Consider the following 18,858-nt stretch of genomic DNA (forward strand, 5'->3'; position numbering starts at 1 on the left):
TTAGATAAAACTACCCATGTTTTCAATGAAAGTATTTTACAAATACAAATTGGAATGTTGATTTGTCATTTAATTGTTTCATAATTTTCCTACATGTCAAAAGTCCATGATACAAACACTGACTGGGATACAGTGATAAATCACAACACCAGCTCAATATCTAGAAAGAAAAATCTATATAATATTTGTGTTTGACTGGAGTGCAAGTTTAGGCTGTTGACCTTTAACAATTCATTTTCACCCCAGTTTTCTTTTTGGTTGGTTGGTTTTGAGACGGAGTCTCACTCTGTCACTCAGGCTGGAGTGCAGTGGTGTGATCTCAGCTCACTGCAATCTCTGCCTCCCAGGTTCAAGTGATTCTCCTGTCTCAGCCTCCTGAGCAGCTGGGACTACAGGTGCGCACCACCATGCCTGGCTAATTTTTTGGTATTTTTTAGTAGAGACGGGTTTCACCATATTGGCAAGGATGGTCTCGATGTCTTGACCTCATGATCCGCCCGCCTTGGCCTCTCAAAGTACTAGGATTACAGGCGTGAGCCACTGCGCCCCGCCCCAGGCTGTTTTTTATAAGATGGTATTTCACTGTTGCCCAGGCTGCACTCAAGGACCCCTCCAGCCTTGGCTGTAATCCCAAAGTGTTGGGATTATAGGCATGAGCCACTGCAACTGGCCATCCCAGTTCCAGAGCTCACATTCAAATGATAAGGAGAGACTAACCAATCTGAGGTGAAGAGGAAGAAATAAATGCCTTAATCATGAAATAGGGGTTTAGAGCCAGAAACAGTTGAGAATGTAAACTGCACTAGGATTTAGAGATAAAAGGGTTTATTTAAGTTTGAAGTGGGTCCAAATCTGATTGGTTTTTTTTTACTTTCCTTTAGCCATGTATTTGAACAAGCGTGTATAAGATAACTTGTCCAGCTTTAACACTGACAGGAAAGCCAAGAAGTTGGGAGTATTAGAGTGCATTGATGAATGGCTGGCTCGCTCATTCTAGCTGCTTGGAGTTTAATGAGGACAGGTTTACTGAGCTGGCAGTCTTGGTTAGATTTCAGTTGGCAATATATAGCAATCCATTTGACATGAAATTGGCCTCAAAGAGTGAGGTTGGAAGAAGTCACGTGCTTTGTAAGTTGGAGTATGAACACACTGACAAGGAGGGCTAAGAACTGAATCATTGAAAGTATCTGCCTTAGGCCAGGTGCTGTGGGTCACACCTGTAATCCGAGCACTTTGGGAGGCCAAGTTGGGTGGATCACGTGAGGTCGGGAGTTTGAGACCAGCCTGACCAACGTGGAGAAATCCTGTCTCTACTTAAAAAAGCCGGGCATGTTGGCACATGCCTGTAATCCCAGCAACTGGGGAGGCTGAGCCAGGAGAATCGCTTGAACCTGCGAGGCAGAGGTTGCAGTGAGCCGAGATCGTGCCATTGCACTCCAGCCTGGGCAACAAGAGTGAAACTGTCTCAAAAAAAAAAAACAAACCCAAAACATCAAACAGGGAGGACTTTTCAGTTTTACAGAGAAAAGTATACAAACCTTTTTTTTCTCTGTGTGTCTCTTTTTTTTTTCTTCCAGAGATTCATGAGCTCTTGTTTAAAAATGATAGCCCAAGTTAGGAGACTGTTGTGTCTTATTTCTGAGTTGCTGGTGAAAAAATAGTGGTCGAAGTTAAGTAGACAAATTTAAGTGATCACTTACTTGGTAATTAAAGCTCTTTTTCTTCCCAGCATTTTGGGAGCCCAAGGCAGGTGGATTGCCTGAGCTCAGGAGACCAGCCTGGGCAACATGGCAAAACCCCGTCTCTACAAAAAGTACAAAAATTAGCTGGGCATGGTGGTATGTGCTTGTAGTCCCAGCTACTGAGGAGGCTGAGGTGGGAGGATTGCTTTGAGCCCAGGAGGTAGAGGTTGCAGTGAGCTGAGATTGTGCCACTGCACTCCAGCCTGGGTGACAGAGTGAGGCCCTGTCTCAAAAACAACAACAAAAAACAAAAACAAGCTCTCTACAGCAGCTGGCAGTCTATTGACCTGGAAGAAAGCTCCATTCCTTTCCTCAAGTAATTTTGATTAATTCTCAACAGAAGTGGGTGGAAGGAAAGGTTTTTACTTACTCTGTCATCCAAGACTGGTACCTGAGCCACTGCCAGCTCTTGGGTATGACAGCAGTTGACAGGAATAAAATGATTCAAAAGGGTGTTAGTAGTAAGGTTAATGTGATCATCTCCATTTATTGAGGAAGAGATTTAAGTTCGGAGGGGCTTGGCAAGTTGTCTAACTTCGCAGCCCAGTGGTAATGGAGCTGAAACTATAAACTTGGTTACAGGACCAGGTGTAGATAAACTGGAAAGGGCTTCAGAGTCGATAGTCCAAATTCTTATTAGTTTAGAGATAAGAAAGTGGATTTGTTCAAGGTCACACAGGGACACAGTGGCAGAGCAGGGCTCTGGTGCCTCAACAGCAAATCCAGGGCTTGTTATAGGGAGCAGTGTAACGTTAAGGCCGTCAGGCTTGGAAATAGCAGCCCAGATTTGAATCCTTGCTTCCTTACAGCTCTGTGGCTTTGGGCCAATTGTGTAATGTCTGGGATTTCATTTTTTTCATCTTTAAAATGGTGATAATAGGAAGCACCTATCCCCTATTGTTAATATCAAGAATATAGTGTAATGCAAGTAAAGCACTCAGCACAGAGCATAGCACACTGCTCAGTAAATAATAGGTGTTCTGTGCAGGCTTGTGTTGGCATGCAGTAAGCACTCAGGTAATGGCTTAAGAAAGGCTCCTTTGGGTGCTGGGCAGGCAGAAATTACCCTAATTTGCCTGCTGTGAGTGTGCTTCCGCTGACCTTGCTCCTCCTCAACCACTTTTGAATCTGTCCAATTTCGAAGAGTGCGGAAGGGGGACTACTGAGTTGAATGGTCCAAGGTCAAGAGGGACATTTGTGGATAAGGGAGTATGGGCATATGTTAAGAAAGGGGATTCTGAAGGGATAGGTAGGTAGGAAAGATGGTGTGGGTTAAAACTGCTAGATAGCTGTTTTAAAATAGGTTTTCAAATTAGGCTTTCTTGAGTTCAAATTTTTTTTTTTTTTTTGGCTGTGTGCTGAGGGCAAGTCACTTTCTTAGTTCCCTTGTTTGAAAAGTTGGGGGATAACAATATACTTCACAGGGTATTCATGGTGTTTTCTCTCCCCTTTGCTGCACATTGGAATCACGGGGAGCTTTAGAAAACCAATAACTTGGGCTGGGCGCAGTGGCTCATGCTTGTAATCCCAGCACTTTGGGAGGCCCGGGTGGACGGATCATTTGAGGTCAGGAGTTCGAGACCAGCTTTACCAACATGGCAAAACCCCATCTCTACTAAAAAAAAAAAAAAAAAAAAAAAAAGCCGGGCGTGGTGGAGCGCGCCTGTAATCCCAGCTACTGGGGAGGGGAGGCTAAGGCAGGAGAATTACTTAAACCTGGGAGGCAGAGGTTGCAGTGAGCTGAGATCGCGCCACTGCACTACGGCCTGGGCAGTCAAGATTAAAGTCTGTTTCTGATACCACAGAAGTGCAGTTTGTCACTTTGACCCAGTATGTCTTAAGGAAGAAAAACACCTTTTAATCTGAGGAATGTGATTCCTTTTAAATTATTAGGGCCAGAGAGGCATTTAACAGCAGTCCTGTCTTCACTCCCTCCTTGAGCTAAATAATTACCTCTTGAAGTCACTTGCCATGTGGGTTCTAGACTGTGATGCCAAGTAGCCATAAAATGCCATTGTCCTGTAATTCAACAGTGGATAGCCAATCACTAACCAGTGTTATTTCTGTAAACCAATGAGAATTCCTGACGAACAACTTTTGTAATCACCCGTCTTCTGATTCATCCTTTTTTCTGTAAAAAGTTGAGCCTGTCCTTTGGAATACTCTCCAAGGCAACCTGGAAGTGTCTCAGGCTGCAGTCTTCAACCTTGGCCCAAATAAGCTACCTTGACCTGCTGTTTGCCTTTTTACCCTAATTCCCCCCAGGCATCCCTAGATAGGGAAACAAGCCACATCTCTGCCCTCAGCCTGGGACCCTGCTTCCTGATGATACCTGCCCATCCCTGTTTTTTCTCCATAAACTTGCTGGGAAAGGTGCCCTGGTTCTGTTTCTCTAGAGGCTGTGGTGCCAGACTGGAAACTACCAGTTTCCTGGGCATGTGCCTTGGTGTCACCGAACAGCCAGATGAGACTTGTCACCAGAAAATGCTTTCCTTTGCTCCTTTATTAAACACACTCATATTGCCAGTACTGGGGATATCCCCTGAGCAAGGTGTAGGAGAGCAAAAGTAGACAACCAGATAGGAAGAAAACTGAAGTGGAATAAATAGATGCCAGGCACATGAATGGTGCTTTTTTTCATCAACCTTGTGACGTTGGAATTATCTCCCATTACTCAAGAAGCTCAGAGAGGACAAGTGGTCTTGACTTATCAGACATGGGCCCCTTTTTTGTTAAAAAAAAAAAAAAAAATTGGTAATGACCCTTGACTCTTCTGAAGTGAGATCCATTTTCTATATGGATTATAGAAATGCAAAGCCTTAACAATAATATAAAAATACAAGAAAAGCAGTTTATAAAATAAACGTTCTGTATGTAAATATCAGATATGAGTGTGCTATAAGATGTAAGTCAGGTTGGGCATGGTGGCTCAGGCCTGTAATCCTAGCACTTTGGGAGGCCGAGGTGGGCGGATCATCTGAGGTCAGTAGTTTGAGATCAGCCTAGCCAACATGGCAAAACACCGTCTCTACTAAAAATACAAAAATTAGCCGGACATGATGGTGGACACCTGTAATCCCAGCTACTTGGGAGGCCAAGGCAGGAGAGAATTGCTTGAAGCCAGGAGGCACAGGTTGCAGTGAACCAAGATCACACCATTACACTCCAGTCTGGGTGACAGAGCAGGACTCTGTCTCAAAAACAAAAACAAAAACAAAGACCAACAGCAACAACAAAAAAACAAAAAGTGCAAGGTGAAGCAGCAAGTGCTGATGTAGAAGCTGCAAGTTATCCAGAAGATCTACCTAAGATAATGGATGAAGGTGACTACACTAAACATTTTCATTGTAGAAAAAAGCCTTCCATTGGAACAAGATGCCATCTGGGACTTTCATAGCTAGAGAGGGGAAGCCAACGCCTGGTTTCAAAGCTTCAAAGGACAGTCTTACTCTTGATTTTTTGTTTTGCTTTTGGTACAGGCTCTTGCTCTGTGGCCCAGGCTGGAGTGTAGTGGCACAAACACGGCTCAACCTCCTGGGCTCAAGCGATTCTCCTGCCTCAGCTTCCCAAGTAGCTGGGACCACAGGCACGCGCCACCATGCTCAGCTGATTTGTAAAAATTTTTTTGTAGAGATTGGGTCTCACCATGTTGCCCAGGAGACCAGTCTGGTGAGACCCCATCTTTACAAACTCCTGAACTCCGCTGGGATTGCAGGCGTGGAGCTTCTATGCCCCGCCCAGGCTAACTCGTTGAGGACTGAGGCAGCTGGTGGAAGCCAATGCTCATTTATTGTTCTGAAATTCCCAAGACCCTTAATTGTGCTGAATTTACTCTGCCTGTGCCCTATAAATGGAACGAAGCCTGGGTGACAGCCCATCTGTTTATAGGATGGTTTACTGTTTTTTTTTCTTTTTTTCTTTTTTTTTCAGACAGGAGTCTTGCTCTGTCGCCCAGGCTGGAGTGCGGTGGTGCTATCTCGGCTCACTGCAACCTCTGCCTCCCAGGTTCAAGCGATTCTCCTGCCTCAGCCTCCCAAGTAGCTGGGATTACAGGCGCTTGCCACCACGCCCGACTAATTTTTTGTATTTTTAGTAGAGGTGAGGTTTCACCGTGTTGGCCAGGCTGGTCTTGAACTCCTGACCTCAAGTGATCGCCTGCCTCAGCCTTCCAAAGTGCTAGGATTACAGGTGTCAGCCACCGTGCCCAGCCAGGTTTACTGAATATTTTAAGCCTACTATTGAGACCTGCTCAAAAAAGATTTCTTTCAAAATATTACTGCTCATTTACAATACACCTGGTTACCCAAGAGCTCTGCTGGAGATGTACAGGGAGATTAGTAGTTTCATACCTGCAAACACAACATCCACTCTGCAGCCGGTGGATCAAGGAGTCATTTCAGCTTTCACGTCTTATTAAGAAATACATTTCATAAGGCTATACTGCTATAGATATTTATTCCTCTGATGGATCTGGGCAAAGTAAATTGAAAATCTTTTGGAAAGGATTCACTGCTTTACATGTCATTAACGACACATGCGATTCATGGGAGGTGGTCAAAATATCAACATTAGCAGTTTGGAAGAAGTTGATTCCAACCCACATGGATGACTGAGGGGTTTGAGACTGCAGTGGAGGAAGTAATGACAGATGTGGTGGAAAAAACAGCAAGAGAACTAAAAACGGAGCGTAGAGATGTGACGGAATTGCTGTAATCTCATGATAAAACTTGAACGAATGAAGACTTGTTTCAATGGATGAGCAAAGAGTGGTTTCTTGAGATGGAATCTATTGCTGAAGGTGCTGCACACATTGTTGAAATGACAACAAAAGATTTGGAATATTGCATAAACTTAGTTGAAAAAGCAATGGCAGAGTTTCAGAGCATTGACTCCAACTTTGAAAGAAGTTCTACTGTGGGCAAAATGCTATCATATAGCATCAGATACTACAGAGACATCTTGTGAAAACAAGAGTCAGTTAATGCGGCAAACCTCATTATTGTCTTATTTTAAGAAATTGCCACAGCCACTCCAGCCTTCAGCGACCACAATCCTGATCAGTCAGCAGCCATCAACACTGAGGGAAGACCCTCCACCAGCAAGGTTATGTGGCTGAAGGCTTATATGATTGTAAGCATTCCTGGGCTTAAGTGATCCTCCTGCCTCAGCCTCCTGAATAGCTGGGACTACAGGCCCACACAACTATGCCTGGCTAATTTTTTTTTTTTTTTTTTTGAGACAGAGTCTCATTCTGTCACCCAGGCTGGAGTGCAGTGGTGCGATCTTGGCTCACTGCAACCTCTGCCTCCTGGATTCAAGTGATTCTCCTGCCTCAGCCTCCCGAGTGGCTGGGATTATAGGCAGCCACCACCATGCCCTGCTAATTTTTGTATTTTTAGTAGAAATAGGGTTTCACCATGTTGGCCAGGCTGGTCTCGAACTCCTGACCTCAGGTAATCCGCCTGCCTCGGCCTTCCAAAGTGTTGGGATTACAGGCGTGAGCCACTGCGTCTGGCCTGTATTTTTTTAGAGATGAGATCTTACCATGTTGCCCAGACTGGTCTCAAACTCTTGGGCTCAAGCCATCCACTTGTTTCGGCCTCTCAAAGTGCTGGGATTACAGGCATGAGCCACCATGCCCAGCCCCTGTACATTTTTAAATACATAATGCTTTTGCACACTTACAGTACAATGTAAACATAACTTTTATATACACTGGGAAACAAATTGTGTGACCTGCTTTATTGACATGGTCTGGAACTGAACCCATATATATCTGAGGTATGTCTATATGTGAAATGTGCACATAATGTTTTCTTGTGCTAAGTTCCCCAGCTTTTGAATTTTTATTTTTTTTTTAGATGGAATCTCCATCACCTGGGCTGGAGTGCAATGGCGCGATCTTGGCTCGCTGCAACCTCTGCCTCCTGGGTTCCAGTGATTCTCCAGCCTCAGCCTCCCGAGTAGCTGAGATTACAGGCACCTGCCACCAAGCCTAGCTAATTTTTTTTGTATTTTTAGTAGAGACGGGGTTTCACCATGTTGGCCAGGCTGATCTTGAACTCCTGACCTCAGGTGATTTCACCTGCCTCAGCTTCCCAAAGTGCTGGGATTACAGGCGTGAGCCACCGTGCCCAGCCAGGTTTCGAAAAATTTAAAGCACTTTTTATATTTTATACCTGTAATGGATTCAGTCCTGTGGGCATGGGCAATTCTTTGTGTGCCAGACATTTAATATCTCTGTCCTCTTCACCCTACAGCCAGTTAACCTCCCTGGCCAGTGTGACAGTCATTAAAAAAAAAAAAAATTGGCTGGGCGCACTGGCTCATGCCTGTAATCTCAGCACTTGGGCTGAGAGGCAGAGGTGGGAGGATTGCTTGAGCTCAGGAGTCAGTCTGGGCAACATAGCAAGACCTTGTCTCTACTAAAAATAAAAAATTAGCCGGGTGTGGTAGCACGTGCCTGTTGTCCCAGCTACTCTGGAGGCTGAGGTGAGAGGATCGCTTGAGTCTGAGAAATTGAGGTTGCAGTGAGCCGTGATTGCATCACTGCGCTCCAGCCTGGGGGACAGGAGTCTAAAAAAAAAAAAAAAGAAAAAAAAATGCCCAGCTACCCACTAGGAGGCAGTACTGCACCATCGAGAATGGGCCAGACTTTTTGCCTGAGGTTGCACATCTCTTCAGGGAATTGAGTCTGCACTGACTTTTCCACCATGACAATAATAACACATTAACAAAGATAATCATAACAGTAATTACTGATCCTTGAGCTTTATGTATCAGCATTTTGCTAAACATTTTACATATACATACTACCTACTCACTTAAACCTAACCACTTGAGGGAGGCTCTGTTACCCTATTTTGAAACCAAGGCTTAGATCCAAGACCCATGTTAAGTGCTTTGTGAGGAAGGGGTTTTACTGAAGTGCTGAAAGAATGGGATTTGGATAGGAAGTTGGATATATGAAGAGCCAAGTGCATAAAAACAAAGGCAGGAAACTAAAAGGTTCCATGTTGACAGGTTTAAAACCCTATGAATTTGTTCAGAGCTTTAGAATGGTAGGTAGACTAGTAGAATGTCAGAGCTACAGGGACCTTAGAGATTATCAGGGATGGTGATTTCCTTTTTCTTTTTCTTTTTTTTTTTTTTTTTTTGAGACTGAGTCTCACTTTATTTCCCAGGCTGAAGTAGAGTGATGTGATCTCGGCTCACTGCAACCTCCGCCTCCCGGGTTCAAGCAATTCTCGTGCCTCAGCCTCCTGAATAACTGGGATTATGGGCGCCTGCCACCACGCCTGGCTAATTTTTATTTTTTATTTATTTATTTTTTTTGAGACGGAGTCTTGCTCTGTCGCCCAGGTTGGAGTGCAGTGGCGCGATCTCAGCTCACTGCAAGCTCTGTCTCCCGGGTTCACGCCATTCTCCTGCTTCAGCCTCCTGAGTAGCTGGGACTACAGGCATCCGCCACCACGCCCGGCTAATTTTTTGTATTTTTAGTAGAGATGGGGTTTCACCGTGTTAGCCAGGATGGTCTCGATCTCCTTGACCTTATGATCTGCCTGCCTTGGCCTCCCAAAGTGCTGGAATTACAAGCGTGAGCCACTGCGCCCGGCCAATTTTTGCTTTTTTAGTACAGACAGGGTTTCACCATGTTGGCCAGGCTGGTCGGGAACTCCTGACCTCAGGTGATCTGCCTGTCTCGGCCTCCTAAAGTGTTGGGATTACAGGCGTGAGCCACCATGCCCAGCCAGGGATGGTGATTTTCAAACTTTAAACATAGTTAAAGTTTTTGGAATGAAATCTTATGTAGAATACAGAAAACAGCTAAAAATGGTATAGCTATAAAAAGTATAGGTTCTAATAATATTGGCTCATAAAGACAAGAGAAATCCAATTTCCTTCTGTTATTTTGGTTGAATAGAGAAGTGCAAATGGTAACATTTTTTAACACTTTATTTTGCAATCCCCGAGGTGACAGGATAGGAAGGTCCATCCCATAAACAACCTAGAAGCACAGACGTCAGAAGAACATCACCCCAACATGTTTATAGGCATTTGGTTGAATAGGTTTTATGTGGGGGAAAAAACAGAAAACTTAAAAATTGTTAGACCTGTATATATTTTCAACTCAACCAAGTGCCTGTGAGCCCTCTGCAGCCATAGTGGGAAAAGTCCTTATACTGCCCACACCTTCATGCTACAGATGAAGAGCCTGAGGCCCAGGGAGGAGGAGGGGGTGGCTGAGACTCAGGGAGCCTAGGGGGGCCATCTCCAGGGGCTCGGCCTCCTGCCACCCCATCCGGTGCCCTTTCTGAGTGACCAGTCATGACATCTGGTATGGCAGTGTGCTGGAGCCTGGCTGTTCAACCCCTCACCCTGAGAGGGCTCTGGCCACTTGCCCATCTCCCTGGCAGATAAAGCCTCAGACAGATGGCAAACAGTACTTGGCTCCAGGAATCAATTCAGGTCTGATTCACCAGTGGTTTGTGCCCGAGCCAGCGCCACAGGCTGTCTCCTTTCCCCTGTTCTATCACTCACTACCCTCACTGTGGCCAGGTTGGGACTCTTGAGCAACAGGCAGATACCTGTGATCTTGAGAATTGCACTGACTCTTTTGAGGGTTTTCCAGGCCACAGCAGGACTTGTCTGCCTCATTCCTCTGGGCAGCTCAGAGCATTACCCCATCAGCTGCAGTTTCAGTATCAGGGTGGGGCAGTGGTGTGGGGTGGGGCACCGTGTTACTAGGACTAGCCCTGTTGGCTGCAGACACATTGGCAACAGGTGGTGGCTCAGGGGCACAGAACAGGTGGACTACACATCTCCAGGATGAAGTGTCATTTATTGGCATTTGCCTTTTGAAAGAAGCAATCTACTTATAAATGGCAGGACCCTTTTTATTTTCTTTTTTGAGAAAAGCATTTTATTAAATCCATATTTGGAGATATGTTTTAGCAAAGTATAATTAGCATTTTTTGTTTAGAGGATGAATTGTGTTGCTACTCAATAGAAGGAGAATATGGCATACAAACAATGCTTTTATGCAGAAACATGTGTTTTTGTTTTTGAGACAGAGTCTTGCTCTGTTGCCCAGGCTGGAGTGCAGTGGCGCAATCTCGGCTCACCTCTGCCTCCTGGGTTCAAGTGATCCTCCTGCCTTAGTCTCTCAAGTAGCTGGGACTACAGGCATGTGCCACCACGCCCAATTTTTGTATTTTTAGTAGAGAGGGTTTTGACATGTTGCCCGGGCTGGTCTCGAACTCCTGACTTCAAGTGATCCACCCACCTTGGCCTCCCAAAGTGCTGAGATTACAGGCGTGAACCACCGCGCCCAGCAGCAGAAACATGTTTTAAAAGTACATTCAGGCTGGGCGTGGTGGCTCATGCCTGTAATCCCAGCACTTTGGGAGGCCAAGGTGGGCGGATCACGAGAGGTCAGGAGATCGAGACCATCTTGGCTAACATGGTGAAAACCTGCCTCTACTAAAAATACAAAAAATTAGCCGGGCGTGGTGGTGGGCGCCTGTAGTCCCAGTACTCGGGAGGCTGAGGCAGGATAATGGCGTGAACCCGGGAGGCGGAGCTTGCAGTTAACTAAGATCACGCCACTGCACTCCAGCCTGGGAGACAGACGGAGACTCTGTCTCAAAAAAAATAAAATAAAAAAGGACGTTCATACACTTAAGCTTTTCTGACTGGACACGATGCTGCTATTTAATAATAAACTTTTTTGATCTTAAAAGAATCCAGAGCAGGTCCCCCAGGAGCAGGTTCGTGGCGTATCACCAGTGGGGAAGGCTTTTCTCAGAGGCTCTGAGGCAGTGTCTCAAGAAAGGGGGGAGGCTCCGCTTTCTCAGAGTTGCAGTGCTCACCTTGCTGCTGCTGCCACACATCTGTATGCGCCTTCCTGGTACATCACCATCACCACAGGCTCTCATGATAGTGAGGGCTTGACTCCTTCGGGAACCTCAGTCTCCCCAGCTGGAAGTAGGAGCCATAATGCCTCCCTTTCAGGCTTGTTGGGACAAAGAGATGAGGTCACATAGGTGAAGCATCAGCAACTGTGCCTGGCACAGAGGAGGCCCTGAAAGTTGCCAAGCTCAGCGTTTTCCTTCACATCAGCTCTGCTCCACCCCCTTTAATTACTCACTTTTATAATAATTCAAAGGTAACCCATGACCATGGTAGAAAAATTAGCACATATAAGCAAAAAAAGGGAAAAAAGTGATTCAATAGCTTCTGGTTTTTCTAGCCTTTTTCTTTATTCTGGGTGCTTGGTATGGGAAGTTTCTTCATTTGTGTTTAGAGGGTTTTGTAGAGATGATATCATGGTCCCACTTTGCAAACGAGACAATTGAATTCCAGAAAGAGGAAGTGCCTTCCCCAAGGTCATGCAGATAAGGTTAAGCTGGGTTGAAACCCACAGCTTGAGTCCAAGCCCAGCACCAGAATATCAGGACCACAGAGGCATTGCACACAGGTGGGTCACAGATACCTGTCCCTGAAAAGCTCATGATACGGTATTTTCCTTGAAGGACTTAAACATTCCCCACTGAAAACATCCTGCTTTGTGACTTGCCCCATCCTGAAGTCCTGGGAGTGGACAGTTTGTGAATAAACCACCTGACTAGGTGAGGGCTGTCGGCTCCTGAGTTTTGCTCCCCCAGAGACACTGAGTATGCACCATCCGTGGGCTTGCCAGCATGAAAGTGCTATCATTGTGGGCTTTCCCTTCACATTTTTTTTTTTTTTTTTGAGACAAGGTCTTGCTCTGTCACCCAGGCTGGAGTGCAGTGGTGCGATCTTGGCTCACTGCAACCTCTGCCTCCTGAGTTCAAGTGATTCTCCTGCCTCAGCTTCCCAATAAGCTGAGATTACAGGTGCGTGCCACCATGCTCGGCTAATTTTTGTATTTTTATTAGAGACAGGGTTTGGCTATGTTGCTAAAGGCTGGTCTCGAACTCCTAGCCTCAAGTGATCTGCCCGCCTTGGCCTCCCAAAGTGCTGGGATTATAGGCATGAGCCCGGCCTCCCCTCACTTTAAAGGATGCTCCTTACCTGTTTTTGCTTTCTTCTGGTCTTTCCTGTGGCAACTGTTGTGGGGTTCCCAGCAAATATTTCAGTTTTTTCCTAAAAGAAGTAAGCGTGCACATTTCACTGGCTAAAGTACACTCTTGTGTTAAAATTCTGCATTGAAAATGGGTGAAGTCACCCTGGCAACATGGCAAAACTGCATTTTTACAAAAAATACAAAAATTAAGGCCAGGTGTGGTGGCTCACGTCTGTAATCCCAGCACTTTGGGAGGCCGAGGCAGGCAGATCACTTGAGGCCAGACATTCGAGACCAGCCTGGCCAACATGGCGAAACCCTGTCTCTGCTAAAAATACAAAAATTAGCCAGGCATGGCTGGGTGCGGTGGCTCATGCCTGTAATCCCAGCACTTTGGGAGGCTGAGGAGGACAGATCATGAGGTCAGGAGTTCAAGACCAGCCTGACCAATATGGTGAAACCCCGTCTCTACTAAAAATACAAAAATTAGCTGGGTGTGGTGGCACGCACCTGTCGTCCCAGCTACTTGGGAGGCTGAGGCAGGAGAATCGCTTGAACCCGGGAGGCAGAGGTTGCAGTGAGCCGAGATCACGCCAATGCGCTCCAGCCTGGGTGACAGAGCAAGACTCCATCTCAAAAAAAAAACCAAAAAAACAAAAAAGCTGCGTGGTGGTGCACGCTTGTAATCCCAGCCGCTTGGAAGGCTGAGGCACAAGAATCACTTGAGCCTGGAAGGTCAAGGCTGCAGTGAGCTGTGATGGCGCCACTGCACTCCAGCCTGAGTGAAGGGCAAGACCCTGTCTCAAACAAACAAACAAAAATCAAAGGATGAAGTCACGTAGATTTTGGGCAAATTGTTTTCCAAAATCTGTTAGCATAATTCTACAGAATGTCAAAAAGATAAAGACATCCACCAGTAAACCCTAATTGTTTGATGGTTGTAAGTAGTCACTTGAGATGTGACCGCAATAGGGGCCTGCCCATGGGGAAGGTGGCATACCCACCCATCTCCTGTGCCAACATGGCGTCCCTATCTCCTGGTAGCCCTGAGGCGAGGGTCAGGTGAAGGAAGTTGGGATCATCATTTACTCAGTTTGCCTATCTGTAGAAAGGGGGTATTTGGGCTGAAGGTGGCCTGTAACTCACAGGATGATCTGTCCCCTCTTCACACTGCACCCTGCAGTGAGGGGAGCAATGACTGAGTCAACCACTGCTTTAGGCAGCGGGGGTCCTTGATAAGGAGATAAGTTTGCCACACTGGGACTGATGGTCCTCAAGTTCTTTTCCAGCACCGATATTCTAAGATTCGGTGACTCCAGAAAAGCAATAAGGCCGTTGTGAGGAGGGCAGATCCAGAGGATGATCTTCCTGGAGGGGAGGGGAAAATGTTCAGTGCATACAGTGGGTAATGGTTCATCTGAGGTGGCATCAGACTGTACAACAAGCAGGGATTGTTCTGCAGGGTTCAGGCGACTGTTAGTATTTGATCAAGATTGGAATAGTCTCCTAAAACCTACTTGATCCTCACAGAAAAGTTCCTATCCCCATTGTGCAGATGTGGAAACTGAAGGTTAGAGATAGAAAGTTAGACCCTAGGGTGAGGCAATGGATGGCTAGGACTAGAACCCAAGGCAGGCTCCTAGGGCTCCTGCTTTTCCAGCACGCATCTACCATGCATATGTGCTACTACCAGGCCTGGCGCTAGGATTCACATCACTTTAGAGGCTGCTTGGTGAACATGGGCACCCACAAAAGCCCTGGAGAAGGCAGGTTCTTTCTCAGGAATGGCCAGTGGGTGTGAAGATCACAGTGTGGGAGAAAGATCAAGGAGGACTGAGGGCCACCCGACCAGGAATCATCTCCAGCAGCCTGTGGGTGACCGCTCGTCATCCAGATCAGCATCAGGAAGGTTCTGCACAACACCTCTAGGGAACACATGGGGATCGAGGTCCTGTGGCCGTCTTGGGGTCTGAAGATCTAGATTTAGCTTCTGGCAGTATCATGATGCAAACCTGGGCAAGTTGTTTTGTTCCCTGGACCTTGGTCTCTTCATCAGTGAAATGGAACTAATTATATTACCTCATAGGGCTATTATAAGGCCTAATAAAAAAAAAAAAGAAAGCATCCATAAACAATGTTTACTGAGCACTAGTAGTGCCAGGCACTCTTCACTTGTATTAACCCATTTGATCTTCACAAAAAATATTTTCTTTTTTGTTTGAGACGGAGTCTCCCTCTGTCGCCCAGGCTGGAGTGCAGTGGCGTGATTTTGGCTCACTGCAGCCTCCACCTCCCAGGTTCAAGTGATTCTCCTGCCTCCGCCTCCCGAGTAGCTGGGATTACAGGCGCCCGCCACCACACCCGGCTAATTTTTTGTATTTTTAGTAGAGACAGGGTCTCACCATGTTAGCTAGGATGGTCTCGATCTCCTGATTTCATGATCTGCCTGCCTCGGCCTCCCAAAGTGCTGGGATTACAGGCGTGAGCCACCGCACCTAGCCCACAACAAATTTTAGAGAGTAGGTACTATTGCTGTCCCCATTTTAGGAAACACAGAAGTTGGTTCCAGCCACAAGGAAGTGGCTTCATCCATCATCAAGAAGTTGATTCCAGCCCACGTGGATGGCTTTGAGGAGTTCAAGACTTTAGTGGAGGAAGTGATGAAAGATGTGGTGGAAATAGCAAGAGAACTAAAACTGGAGTCTGGAGATGTGACAGGCTCCACTTTCAGTTCTCTTGCTATTCCCACATGACCATGGTCCAGGATCCTGAGTTTATGTTCAGGAAATAAGACTCAGCGAAAACTTGCAGTCACTTTCATAATCATTAATGCAGAGATTCTCAATAAATTCTTAAGGCTCCACCACGCTCCAACATAAAGTAACACATTCAGTTTGTTACAGAAATGGTAATAAGGCAACACTATGCAATACTATGTGTACAATGCAGCACTTTGCAGTACCAAAATCCATGCCTACAAAGCACTGCACAAGAACACATACAAATAAAGGATATAGTAGAATGGCTGCCTGTGGGGTGGGGGCATGGAAATGACAATGGAGTGAGGGGGGAATACATGAAGCAAGAGGTGACTAGTCAGGACCAATGATGACAGCCAGCCATCACCTGGGGAATAGGAGGGACTCATCCCACTGCACCTGAGGACTAAAAATAAAATGGAATGGAAACAAGACCCTGGGTGAAATCACTCGGCCTGAAATACACTGGCCCTGGGCTCAAAGAGGAAAGGTGGGGACACATCCTGGGCTGCCTCATCAAACCAGGAGCCTGCAAGAGCATCCCTGTGTGTGTGTGGAGGGGGTGAGGACAAAGGGAGGGTCAACCACACCCAGTTCTGTGAGCTCAAACACCAGACTAAAGGCCACAGGCAGACCCTCCAAGGCCTCAGGGAAGGAGTGAAGAGAAAGGCCTGGGTGGTCAGTGTCAGAGGCGGCACAGTCACATGCTGTCATGCCTATTTCACCAAGGTTTAGCCAAATGCACTATTAGGGTGTCAAGAAAATATGGATATAGGGCAACAATCCTGTGATTGTATGATGACTGTAGGCTTGATCATCATAAGGGTCCTGCCATATGCTGGTCCAGTTGGCACACCCACCCATCTCCTGTGCCAGTGGAGTGTGCCTGTGAAACAGCAGTCAGCTCTTCTGGTGGCCCTGAGGATCGGGGTGAAGGAAGAGTGGATCTTCATTTAGTTAGTTTGCCCCTCTGCAGGAGGAGGGGAGTTGGATACAGACCTCTCCTAACAACCCGCCTGGCTACTGGAACCTTCCTGAGAAATGTGGTTAACCTCTGGGCGCAGAGCCAGCAGTTCTAGGCTCCCGTCACAAGGGGGCAGGATGGGGAAGAAAACAGGTTCTCAATTCCAGGCCTTGGACCTGTCAGGTTTGCTGGCAGGGGCAGGAAGGAGGGTGGGGTCGGGAGTGTGTGGTGGTTGATGAGGGATCCAACCATCGTTCCGCAAGAGCGGCTTGTTTATTAAACATGAAATGAGGGAAAAGCCTAGTAGCTCCATTGGATTGGGAAGAATGGCAAAGAGAGACAGGCGTCATTTTCTAGAAAGCAATCTTCACACCTGTTGGTCCTCACCCATTGAATGTCCTCACCCAATCTCCAACACAGAAATGAGTGACTGTGTGTGCACATGCGTGTGCATGTGTGAAAGTATGAGTGTGAATGTGTCTATATGGGAACATATATGTGATTGTATGTGTGTAACTATGTGTGACTGGCAGCGTGGGGAGTGCTGGTTGGAGTGTGGTGTGATGTGAGTATGCATGAGTGGCTGTGTGTATGACTGTGGCGGGAGGCGGAAGGGGAGAAGCAGCAGGCTCAGGTGTCGCCAGAGAGGCTGGGAGGAAACTATAAACCTGGGCAATTTCCTCCTCATCAGCGAGCCTTTCTTGGGCAATAGGGGCAGAGCTCAAAGTTCACAGAGATAGTGCCTGGGAGGCATGAGGCAAGGCGGAAGTACTGCGAGGAGGGGCAGAGGGTCTGACACTTGAGGGGTTCTAATGGGAAAGGAAAGACCCACACTGAATTCCACTTAGCCCCAGACCCTGGGCCCAGCGGTGCCGGCTTCCAACCATACCAACCATTTCCAAGTGTTGCCGGCAGAAGTTAACCTCTCTTAGCCTCAGTTTCCCCACCTGTAAAATGGCAGAAGTAACCAAGCTTACCTTCCCGGCAGTGTGTGAGGATGAAAAGAGCTATGTACGTGATGCACTTAGAAGAAGGTCTAGGGTGTGAGTGGTACTCGTCTGGTGGGTGTGGAGAAGACATTCTAGGCAATGAGGACTGGGGAGAGCCTGGCCCATGGCTTCCACTCAGCAAGGTCAGTCTCTTGTCCTCTGCACTCCCAGCCTTCCAGAGAGGACCTTCCCAACCAGCACTCCCCACGCTGCCAGTCACACATAGTTACACACATACAATCACATATATGTTCCCATATAGACACATTCACACTCATACCTTCACACATGCACACGCATGTGCACACACAGTCACTCATTTCTGTGTTGGAGATTGGGTGAGGACATTCAATGGGTGAGGACCAACAGGTGTGAAGATTGCTTTCTAGAAAATGACTCCTGTCTCTCTTTGCCATTCTTCCCAATCCGATGGAGCTACTAGGCTTTTCCCTCATTTCATGTTTAATAAACCTTCCCAATGGCGAAATGGGCTTTCTCAAGAAGTGGTGAGTGTCCCATCCCTGCGGTGGGGACAGGGGTGGCAGCGGACAAGCCTGCCTGGAGGGAACTGTCAGGCTGATTCCCAGTCCAACTCCAGCTTCCAACACCTCATCCTCCAGGCAGTCTTCATTCTTGGCTCTAATTTCGCTCTTGTTTTCTTTTTTATTTTTATCGAGAACTGGGTGGAGAGCTTTTGGTGTCATTGGGGATTGCTTTGAAACCCTTCTCTGCCTCACACTGGGAGCTGGCTTGAGTCAACTGGTCTCCATGGAATTTCTTTTTTTAGTGTGTAAACAGCTAAGTTTTAGGCAGCTGTTGTGCCGTCCAGGGTGGAAAGCAGCCTGTTGATGTGGAACTGCTTGGCTCAGATTTCTTGGGCAAACAGATGCCGTGTCTCTCAACTCACCAATTAAGAAGCCCAGAAAATGTGGCTTGGAGACCACATGTCTGGTTATGTCTAGTAATTCAGATGGCTTCACCTGGGAAGCCCTTTCTGAATGTCAAAGCCATGAGATAAAGGACATATATATAGTAGCTAGGGTGGTCCACTTCTTAGGGGCCATCTCCGGAGGTGGTGAGCACTAAGTGCCAGGAAGAGAGGAAACTCTGTTTTGGAGCCAAAGCATAAAAAAACCTTAGCCACAAACCACTGAACATTTGTTTTGTGCAGGTTCTGAGTCCAGGGAGGGCTTCTGAGGAGAGGGGCAGCTGGAGCTGGTAGGAGTTATGTGAGATGGAGCAAGGGCCCTTTAAGAGGTGGGAGCAGCATGAGCAAAGGCAGAGAGGTGGTAATGTATAAGGTATGTCATGGGAAAGAGTTTGGCTGGAACAGAGTTTACAGAATAGAAAAATT

At 46.8% G+C, this 18,858-nt stretch overlaps 1 non-coding gene across 1 annotated transcript, besides 2 other annotated features; it reads right to left on the reverse strand.

Moving 5' to 3' along the window:
* Positions 6,187-6,387: a silencer, noted in NCBI's record as "peak5786 fragment used in MPRA reporter construct". NCBI's record gives its function as "represses an SCP1 promoter by STARR-seq MPRAs in K562 erythroleukemia cells {active_cell/tissue: K562}" and the evidence as "EXISTENCE:reporter gene assay evidence [ECO:0000049][PMID:32103011]".
* Positions 8,094-8,143: an enhancer, noted in NCBI's record as "active region_24432". NCBI's record gives its function as "activates an Ori minimal core promoter by ATAC-STARR-seq in GM12878 lymphoblastoid cells {active_cell/tissue: GM12878}" and the evidence as "EXISTENCE:reporter gene assay evidence [ECO:0000049][PMID:35858748]".
* On the reverse strand, positions 15,465-15,541 carry MIR3925 (microRNA 3925). The gene has a single exon (NR_037491.1). It is a non-coding gene; the product is annotated as a microRNA 3925 (primary transcript).
* Positions 15,542-18,858: the final 3,317 nt, after the last annotated feature.

Source organism: Homo sapiens, chromosome 6 (assembly GCF_000001405.40).
Source record: "Homo sapiens chromosome 6, GRCh38.p14 Primary Assembly".
Taxonomy (NCBI): Eukaryota; Metazoa; Chordata; class Mammalia; order Primates; family Hominidae; genus Homo; species Homo sapiens.